The sequence below is a fragment of the Homo sapiens genome, chromosome 20 (assembly GCF_000001405.40).
Source record: "Homo sapiens chromosome 20, GRCh38.p14 Primary Assembly".
Classification (NCBI taxonomy): domain Eukaryota; kingdom Metazoa; phylum Chordata; class Mammalia; order Primates; family Hominidae; genus Homo; species Homo sapiens.
The window spans coordinates 61727187-61737847 of NC_000020.11; the positions used below are offsets into that span (position 1 = coordinate 61727187).

The 10661-nt window shown below is 56.2% G+C and overlaps 1 protein-coding gene across 5 annotated transcripts in view; it reads left to right on the forward strand.

Annotated features, from left to right (window-relative positions):
- The window catches only part of CDH4 (cadherin 4), a 688357-nt gene that overhangs the window by 474926 nt on the left and 202770 nt on the right, over positions 1-10661 (forward strand). The gene's annotated exons all lie outside the window — the stretch shown is intronic.

Here is a 10661-nt window from a genome sequence, read left to right on the forward strand (position 1 = left end):
CCATCAGAGTCATCATCTTCACCACCGGAGCCATCATCACCATTGAAGCCATCACCATCAGTGCCATCATCATCACCATCAGAGTCATCATCATCAACACTGGAGCCATCATCACCATCAGAGCCATCATCACCATCGGTGCCATCATCGGTGCCTTCATCACCATTGGTACCATCATCATCAGTGCCATCACTATCTCTCTTATCACCATTGCTGCCATCATCATCATCTCTGTCATCATCACCATCACTGCCACCATCATCATCATCACTGCCAATATCATATGCGTTATTATTATCCTTTACCTTAGTCCACCTTTATTACTTTAAAGGACAACCTGAGGCTGGGTAATTTATAAGGAAAGGAGGTTTAATCGGCTCACGGTTCTGCAGGCTACACAGGAAGTATGGCATGGGCATCTGCTTCTGGCGAGGGCCTCAGGAAGCTTCCACTCATGGCAGAAGGCAAAGGAGACCATAGGTGTGCAGATCACGTGGTGAGAGAGGAGGTGGGAGAGTTGGAGGTGCCAGGCTCATTTCAACAACCAGTTCCCTTGGGAGCTTAGAGTGAGAACTCCCTCCCTCCCTTGAGAATGGCACTAGGGAATTCATGAGACATCTGTCCCCATGACCCAAATGCCTCCCCCCGACCACCCCCAGCCACAAGGCCCACCTCCAACCCTGGGGATCCAATTTCCACAAGACTTAGCTGGGCCAAACCAACCATGACCACACCATGGCATTGCTGTTTGCTGTTAGGGCTAAGGAGAGGCCTTGCCCAGGTTAGAAGCAGGTGACTCACTCCCAGCAGTGTAGGAAGCACCTGCGCCTCTTCATTATGGAAGAAAGAGCTCAGGGCCCCTTGGGCCACCTCAGTGAGTGAGATTTAGCCAGGGCCTGAGCAGGCCACCTACCCTAGGAGGATCCAGAGACCTCAGCACACCTTTTTTCTCTCTAAACCCCATCAGCCATAGAACCTGGCCTCTCTGCTTTCCAAGGCTGTGAGTGAGTGGGCTGCTGTGTTCTGCAGGGGGTGCTTAACATCTAAGCATAACCACCTGTTTATGAGTAGACATCTGTGTGTGTCTTGCATCCAGGAAGCTCTTCATAGCAAAAGCATAGGGTGGAAGGGAGCAGGGTGGTGGAAGATCACGTCACTGTTGACAGGGCAATGTTATTTAGATGGTGCCTTATTCTCATCCTTCCATCCTCTAAAACTCTGCTTGAGTTTGTCTTTCAAGGAAGGGCTCAAGGGCCATGTCTGGAATGAGCAGGAAAGGGGAGTGCCAAGCAACATGAGGCTCGTGAGGGTGGGGAGTGGCAGTGAGCCAGATGCCCCCAGGTGAGCACTGGCCCACCATGCCCCAGCGGTGGAACCTCGGGATACGGGGCAGGATACCTGTACCTCAGTTTCCTCTTTGGGAAAATGGAAGGAACATGACCTTCCATATAGGTTTGTGTGGGTTCTGTAAGAGAATGTGCTCCAAGTGCCCAGCAGGATGTCTGAGCAGACAGTATTGAATGAACGGATGAATGTATGAGTGAAGATTCAGGAAACACTGGTTCATGTTGGTTCATGAAATGTTAGTTCCAGATATTCAATAAAAATGTGACGTTTTTAAGAGTTCTAAAAATAACTCGCACTTCTCCACACCGTTAAATGGACTCTCACAGCCTTGAATGAGAGAGCAAAAGTCCCAGCAAGGCCACCCCCTCCAGGTTCCCAAGGAACACCCCTAGCCATCAGGACACCGCTGGCCCTGGGAGAGAGGGACAAAGGGCTTTCCTCCCTGCAGTGACTCAGGGCAGCAGCGGTGCCCCGATGTCCTGGCCAATGCCGGGAAGAATGTCAGTCTCCAGCCGTCCTCGCCCATGTGGGAATGACAAGCAAGGCTTTGCCCATTAGCCCTGTTGCTCTGCGAGCGCTGACTGCAGCGTGTTTTGACAAGAGGCCCTGGCATCTCACAAGCCCAGGAGTCCTCGGTGCATGGCGCATTGGTGGCTGGATTTGCCACTATTATTCTCTGCTCACTCCTGTGTTGGCGTGAGTGGGAGGACTTCATTAGCGACATCGCCCACATCAAGAGCCACTGTGCTTCGTTCCAGTGGGCACCAGTAGGACTGGCTAATGAGGCGCTCACAGCTCAGTTTCTACGGCCACTGTGGAAAAGAACTTTTGTGTAAATACCTGCCTCAGAATGTGGCCCTTCCCTGCGGCCCCCTCTTCTGTATCTCCCAATACACCTGCACTTTTTTTCTTGAACAGAGAACTGTTAATTAGTGCCAGAACCTAGAGAAATTCCTCTCTTTATATAGGCTCAGAGCCCTTTCACGACGTAAGGCTCTTTCGCCACAGCAGGGAGCTGCAAACAGGCTTGCTGAGGTCCTTTGAGGAGCTGCGTCTCCTCTTGGCAGAGTCTCTGGTTTGCACATAGCACCATAAATATTCAACAAAGACGTGGAGACGATGAGTGCAAGTTTTGGGGGACAGGGCCACACCGGAGAGTGTAAGGCACACACTTGTTGCCATGTTGGCTGGCTTTTCTTAGACAGGAAGAATCCCATGGTATTTTCTCATCAGAGAGAGATGCAGTGTCCATGAGGATGTGAGATTACAGCGTTGGATGCATCAAGAAGAAAAGCCAGAGGGAGACGCAAGTTTAATATTTCCTGCCATAAATGAGACGGCAAGAGAGAGGTTTCACTGTTTTACTTTATAATGGGATTTCTAACATTCCGGAGACAGAGTGTTTTGTTTTCTTTGGAGAAGGTACAGCTGATAGATAGTGAATATCCATTTCTTAATAGACTTTGGTTTTCAGAGCAGTTTTAGGTTTATGGGAAAATGGAGCAGGAAGTCACCCCCCTCTCCCACTGCCAGCTTCCCCTGTTGTTAACGTCTTGCATTCGTGTGTTGCATTTGTTAGGACTGACGGACAATGGAAAAATAACATGTCAGTACCGACGCGTTATTAGGACACAGTCCAGGCTCCAGGAGGGCTCTGTCTTGGTGTGGCGGATTCGTGGGTTTGGACAAATGCATGGTGGGTTTGGACCAAATGCATGGTGACACGGAGCCACCACTGCAGACCTCACAGTGCTGCTTCCCTGCCTGAAAGTCCCCCATGCCCTCCTGTTCATCCCTCCCTCCTCCCACGGTCCTTTCACTGTCTCTGTGGCTTTGCCATTTTCAGAATGTCATGGAGTTGGAATCCTACGGGTATGCAACCTTTCAGATGGGCGTCTTTCAGTTAGCAACATGTCCTTAATGCTCCTCCATGTCTGGGGGCCTGATAGCTCATTGGATATCCATTTTTGAAGCTAAGGGAAATGGAACTTGTGCATTTACCCCATTAAGTTTTCTCAAGCACTTCCTGGGTGCCAAAGTCACCTGGTTGGAAGGTGCCAGAGACCCCGGTGAGGAAGGCAGGCCCAGCGCCTGCCAGCCCCAGGCCCACAGACTGGCAGGAGGTGGCCGGCAGTTTCAGGCCCTGCCTGTGCTTGGAGCCAGGGTGAAGCCAGCCAGGGCAACCTGAGCAGCCATCAGTGGAGACACTCGACTGCATCCCTGTGACTGCAGGAGGGACAGGAGCAGATGAGCCTTCCAGAAACGCCAGATCTACTTGCTCTGTGAGGCAGAGATTGGTGCTGGGGGCAGGGCCTGGCTGGGGAGACCACTGGGCCATGCAGGCAGCGGGCTGAGCTGGGCGGCGGGGTCTGGGATGGATTGGGTGTCCAGTTGGGGTATCCAGGGGCTCCGGCTCCCACGTGGAAGGTAGCACCCCTTCCTGTGGCAGCTCCAGGGGAAGGAGCAGCTGAGGGGGTCTCAGGCAGCAAGGGTGTGCTGTGTGGGCAGACCCCAGAGACCTCACCCTGGGGTCTGGAGTTCAGGAGAAGGATCTGCACCGGGAGATGTCCTGGGGCCCATCACGGCAGGGTCCTCTCATCTGCAGAGCATGAGGGCGTCCGAGTCCCCCCCTCAGCCCTCAGCCCTGCCCTTGGCTCTGCTCAGGCCAAACAGTCGTGCCGCTTGTGGTGTGTCCCATTCTGAGGGTCTCCTGAGGGATTTTGGCCTCGTGACATTCTCCTCACCCCTCGGCCCCCCGGCGGCCCCTCACACGTGCCCAGTCAGGTTCTGTGTTCCCGCAGCACCCTTCCTGACCGCCACCCTCCTAGATGGTTCTGAGCACAGCCCTGCAGCCCTGCATGAGATCCCTGCCACCCCACAGGGGTATGCTCAGTCAGGATGATCTCTTTGGAAAGTGCACGCCGTCCCATCACTCACTGGGCAGGGCCCATAGGGTGCACCTGGAGCCTGGGCAGGTCCCCCCCAGGTGGGGTGAAGCAGAGGCTTCAGGGCAGCCTCAGCTCCTCCACATCCTGCTGCTCAGCAGATTCCTGAGGCAGCTGCATGTTTGTAGAATCGGAAAAGCGCCGTTTCCAGCGGGACGCCTCCTGCCAAGCCCAGAACTGCGCAGGTGGGTTGGGATGGGCAGGCCCCGTGCAGACGCTGCCACATCATCTGGGAAATGCTCCCTTGGTTTGGAGACGTGAGTGAGTGGCTCGTGGGGTAGAAGGTTCTCAAACTGTTGCAGGTGTCCTGGCACCACGGGGGTGCGGCTGTTCCTCCACCCGACTGTCACCCCCACGAGGACTCGGGGGCTGCACAGCCTGGCGGGGATGCCTCTACTGGAGGGTGTGTCCCCTGGGATGAGCAACATCAGAACCCAGGTTGCCCCACCTGCACGGTCCCCCTACCCACCCACTCCCCTTAGGAGATTCTCCTTCATCAAGAACCTGAGCCAGCGCCACCACCTTCAGAAACCTTGGACTCAGACTCTGTCCTCTCTCTCCCTCCTTCTCAGCCTCCTCTCCCCTCTGGGAGCTCCTGCTGCAGTGACGGTGACTCACTGCTGGGCTGGTTCACTCCAAAGTGGCTCGAGTGCATTACTCAGGTCTTTGCAATAACCCAAGATTTTTCTGTGTACAAAATATGCATATGCGTTTGCCTCCCAGCAGCATCTTTCATGGGAGACAGTGGCTTCCTAGCAAGTCCTGGTGAAGTGATGGACATGAACACTGTGATATTCCAAACCAACACTCAGTCTCTGCACTGCCTCAGGGAAAAGGAGCTTTTGGAGTTCAAGTCCCAGCTCTCCAACCTACAAGTGTGGAGGTGACCGCGTGCCTTGGAATCAAATCCAGAAATCGTACTGGGGCTCCCGGAGCCCACAGGCACTGCCCCATCCCTCCCTGCCTCCTCCTCGCTCCCTTCCTGCCCCCCAGTCTCCTCCCATCCTCAGATACACTAAGCATGCCTCAGGACCCAGGGCCTTGCACTGTCTGTTCCCTCTGCGGGGAATGCTCTTCCCTCAGGCACCAACACAGCCTTCCACCTCTCTTCATTCAGGTTGGCCTATTGGAGAGGGGATGCCTCCCTCCAGTGGCTCCATAACACTACCCCTACCTAGCCAGGCACGTCCAGCTGCCAGCTCATCACGCATGGTCCCCCACTAGACAGCTTCCCGGGGGAGGACCTCGGTGTGCACCGCTCGTCCCCCACGCCTGTGAGAGTGCTCATAGGCGATTCTTGAATGGATAAGTGGGAGAAAGGAAGAGGCTGGAGGTTGGAGATGAGCCCCCCACCCCATGTCCCTGTGTTGCCCGAGGCTTTGATGTCTCAGGTAGTCTTGTTCCATTTCGGGCATCTCAAAGCAGAAGCTGAATGTGGCCTCCGCCCTGTGCCACATGTGCTGGGAGCCCCTTCAGCACCGGCTAGAGTGACCAGCTGGGGGCCTAATTCTCCCCCTCTAGACCCCAGCTCCCACCTCTGAAAACGGGGGTGCTCTGGGCTGTGTGGGGGCAGCAGGTGTGAGATGACGCATGGACAGATGGACAGGAAAGCAGTGGCCCAGGGCGAGGTGGGGAGGTCAGGGGAGGGTGGGAAAGAAGAAGGGCAGTCTCCTGGGACGCTAGGTGCTCAGTTGCTACCGCTGCTGATGTCGTTTAGGAGGGTCTTTGGTTGTTTCAAGGGAATTCTCTATGTTCCACACAGAGCAAGTTCCGGGCAGTGGCAGCCATTTACATGCCCAGGGGTCTGCAGTTGTGGTCCACGCCCACCAGGTTGGATCCCAGCTTCTCCCATCACCCTCATCCCACTCACAGCCGCCGCTCCCAGTGGTTCTGTACCTCCAGGCCTTCACACGTGCTGTTCCCGCATCAAAGCACTCTTGCTCCGACTTTCTGGGTCTGCTCCCCCGGTCACAGAGGCCTCGGGATGCATGCTTCCTCCCCCACAGACCCTCTGCTCCCTCATCTCCCCTGCTGTCCCTGTCACAGTGACTTTGTTCGTGGGCCGGCTGCCTCATGGTCTTCCCACCACACTACATGCCATGTGGGCTGACTGCCCAGCACCCAGGACGGTACGTAGGGAGGAAATGGGTACACGATGGATGGATGAATGGAAGGAAGGAAGGAAGGACACAGAGAAAGAGAGAAAGAAAGGAAAGAAGAAAGAAAGAATGAAAGAAAGAAAGAAAAAGAAAAGAAAAGAAAGAGCAAGCTGGCAACCTCTGCTGGTTGAACCTGAGGGTTTGAAACTCACCCTCTCCTCAGCACGGTCCCAGCTACAAGCTCACCTCTGGCTCATTTGATCTTTCTCAATTCACCTAACAAGAAAAACAATAAAAAGGTGTGTTTTGTAACTGCAGCACCATTCTCCTGCATGCCCGTCTTGGGGAGACACAGCCTGCTGCGCCCGTAAATGTCAGCAGGCTCCTGCCGCAGAGGAAGCGGAGCGCATGTCACTCAGGGCTGGTTCCCAGCGCAGGCTGTCTCCTGGCCCCTTTCACAGAGAAGCAATTAGACAGATGGGGGTAAAGGGTTAACCCGGAAGCCTCCTAATGAGGGGAGCTGCCGGCTCCTCTGTGGGTGCGCGATGCCGAGTCTCCACAGAGGCTTTGGATCCGCATCACTGCACCCGTCACTGCCGTGCACGCGTGAGACTGGGGGCTGGGGGGAGATGTGAAGTCACACACTAAGAAAATTATTTCCTTCATCTTGGAAAAACAAAAGAAGCCGGGCTCTGCTGTTTAGCTGAGGGTCTAATTATGACTGCTACATGTAATCCTCGGAGTTCAGAACTGGCCCAAGCCTGGGCAGGGCCCACTGCACACTTCCCAGGCTCGGAACGGGGAGTTGTTGTATGTGAGGTTTGCACCAGCTGCAAGCTTTGTGAATACACACAATTCAAAGAAAAGCACCGTGGCAGTGCGCTTGTGACATGCTTTGCATTGGGGCATCTACTACACGGGATCTGGAGGTGCCCAGAGCCCCAGACGGGGAGGGACGGCCTTGGTTGTGACTCTGGGCCCCGCATGGTGCAGGGATTCAATAAGGGTGTGGGAAACTGTTTGAATAGTGAGAATTCATCCTAAAAGGTAGTTTTCCTTCAGCAGGTTGAGTTTCCCTATCACCCAAACAAGGGGCTGGAGTAGATCATTTCCAAGGCCCCTCCCAGCCTGGCATGCTGCAGGCTTGGGGCCGTGGGGAGCTCTGGAGACTGAGCTCAGCCTCAGCAGTTTCTCCCTGTACCGCCAGTTTTCTCCGTCCCCACCCAGCACGTGGACACAGCGCACACAAAGCGCGCACAGTCACACGAATCAACCTGGGCAGATATTCAAGAACCTATGAATCTCCCTCCTGAGTCCCCAGGGCTGAGGCCCAGCGCAGACGATAGCCCCCGCTCCCGAGAATCTCCCTGCGCTGGGTGGGCCTCGGGCAGGCGCCTGGTGATGGCTGTTGCTCTGCGGCCCCTCCCTGTGGCCCCTCCCGGCAAGCACCATCGTCTTCCCCAGGGACAGGAAAAACGACAGAGGGGCCAGAAAGAGAGAGGGGTCGTGGAGGAGGGACCCTGCCCTGGGCTGATCTGGAGATCTCTGTGGGGAGAGGAAGCTGTGGCCGGCACTCGGGACCCACTCCAGGGAGATGTGTGAGACTCAGGATGCGGTTGGGGCCCCGTGGGCACAGAGCTCAGGAGGACTCCCCCGTCTCCCCAGCAGCTGGAATTAGGGACCCCAGAAGCTGCTTTTTTAAAACTGAAGTAAAATTCACATAACGTAAATGTCCCCATTTTCAGGCATACAATTCAGTGGCATTGAGCACATTCAAAATGCTGGGCCACCGTCACCCCAAGGGAAACCTGGTCCCCATTAGTGCTCACTCCCCCACCCTCCTCTGTTTCTTATACCCCCCTGGTGGGCAGAACCTGTGGCAGGTACAGGAAGGTGCCTGCAGGGACCACAGCCCAGCCCAATGCAGACCCCCAAGGGGTTCCCCAGGGACTCGGGGACCAAGCACAGGAAACCTGGGGGGCCACAGGGACCCTGAGGTTCTGCCTCCCGGCCAGCGCCTTCGGGGCCACTGCGGGGACTGAGGCCACATCTGCCCCCTCCGCTGGACCCCGTGCTCCCTGATGATGGTGCCCAGGGTTGGGGCCTCCCCACGGCCTCCGTGGCTAACGGGTCTTTGCTGCAGGAATGGAGGAATCGACTTCCCTGACATTCCTCTCTTCTTTCTTCTTTCTTTTCTCCTTTTCCTGGCTCTTGAATTTCTCTGTCCCCAGCAGACGTGTCTGAGAGCATGTGCATGCAGCGGGGGCCACAGCCTTCTGCCTCGGGGGCTGTGATCCTCTTTGCAGCCAAATATTGAGGATGTGCTTCTGAAGCCACCGCAACAGCCTTCTAACTCAGCTCCCGAGTTGTTTGCAAGGCTAGGAAAGGCCGTAGCTCTCTTAACATTGGGCCCTAAAGGGGGTGTCTGGGTGTGGCTTCCACTCAGGACACCCCCTCAGTCCCAGAGGATGCGGGACCTCCTGGGAGCTCAGGGTGCCCCCCACTCCTGTGCAGATCTCTGAGCCTTCTTGCAGTCACCAGGTCAGCAGCCTCCATGCAACATCTCCTGGGCCAGTCCCCACCCCGAAGGTGTAGGTTATCTCGCTGGCCGAGGGTCTTCCTGACACCATGCTGTGTTCATTCTTGTCACCTCAGCTGCCCCTGTTCCGGTCACACCAGCTCTCAGGTCCTGGAATTCCTCCCTTCCTCTGCCCCAGGACCTTTGCAAGTGCCATCAGCACTACCAGGAATGTGCTCCCCACCCGAGCCTTCTCTGGAACCTCATTCCCCAGATGTCCACGGAAGGGTCCTGTTATCAAGGAAGCCCTCCCCACCTGTCCACCCAGCCTGGGTCAGGCTCTCACAGAACCTGTGTCTTCCTTGTAGAGTGCCGCACGTCTGATGTGATGACTTGGTTAATGTCTGTCCTGCCCCACACTCTCAGCTCCACTGGCAGTCTCTGTGTCTGGTGTCTGCTGACTGGTGGTATCAGTGATATGTCATGCGAATGGATGAAGGGGAGAGGGAGGGAGGAAGGAAGGAGAGGGAGGGAGGGAGGAAGGAAGGAAGGAGAGAGAGAGAGAGGGAGAGAGAGGGAGAGAGGAGCAAGCTGCCCTTCTTCAGCTGTGCATATCCAGAGGCGCATTCACGACAGGCGGGGTCCCTTCTTAGGGGAGCAGAATTGGCATGAGTCCTGGGAGATGGAGCCATCATGAGGTCACCCGGGGCGGGGGCCACAGAAACTCCATCCACAACACAACCAAGACTGGGGTGACAGAGGGAGACTAAGGCCCACATTCACACTGCCGAAGACGTGGGTGACAGGCGGGGGCCAGCCGCATCCCAGCCCGGAAAGGGGAAGGGGAGACCGGACCACCCTCAGCCTGTGCTTTGCTCTACAGCTGCCAGGAGAAGGTCGAGGTGCAGGGGCTCGCCCTGGGACGAGTCCCAGGCTGTTGGATTCTCTGGTGTGCAGCCCTTCCTGGGAAGGTTTGCCTCAGCATTCGTTGCTCCTCGTGTTGCTTGGATGGCTTTGCAGATCCTGCTGGATGCTGGCCCTGGGGGCTGAGCCCTGCCTGGCATTTGGTCATATTTCAGAGTGGGCAACAGAGGGTGGTCCCTGGAGGATGAAAGATGGAGCAGCTTCTGTTCTCTGGTGTCTTCTCAGAAGAAAACATGGGCTTTAAAATTAAATCCATCTTGTCCAGAACAGGAGGCCAGCGGTATGGGGCCAGGTTGCCCAGAACCTCAGAATCTGTTGACCCCACACCTTGGGGTGAGGAGAGGGAGCTGACCCCCAGCAGAACAAGAGATGGATCCCCACAGGCTCAGAATCCCAAGAGCCAGCTGGCCGCAAACACCCTGCACGGCTCCCCATCCCACCCCAGGGACCCCCGGCCTGACTAGGGCCCTTGTGTGACCCCACTGCAGCCTGGAGGGCTTGGCCATCCATGCTGTCATCACCTGGCCACTGACCACCCTGGCCTCAGCCTGTGCGGTTCCCGGCAGACCCCGGTGTTCAGTAAGTGTTTGTGGGATGGACGACCTTGACCTTGTGTGACCTTGGCTGGGTGCCTTGCTCCCTGGTGCCATGTCCATGCCACTGAAGGATGCCACAGGGCATACTGGCCAGAGCATAAGGACAGCAGCCGACATCCACCCAGTGCCTGCCCTATGCCAGGTACTGAGCAAAGGGATCAACATGCTACCTTTGTCCCCCTCCCCGAGTCCCTGCCATCACTCCCATTTCACAGAAACAAAGACTGTGCTC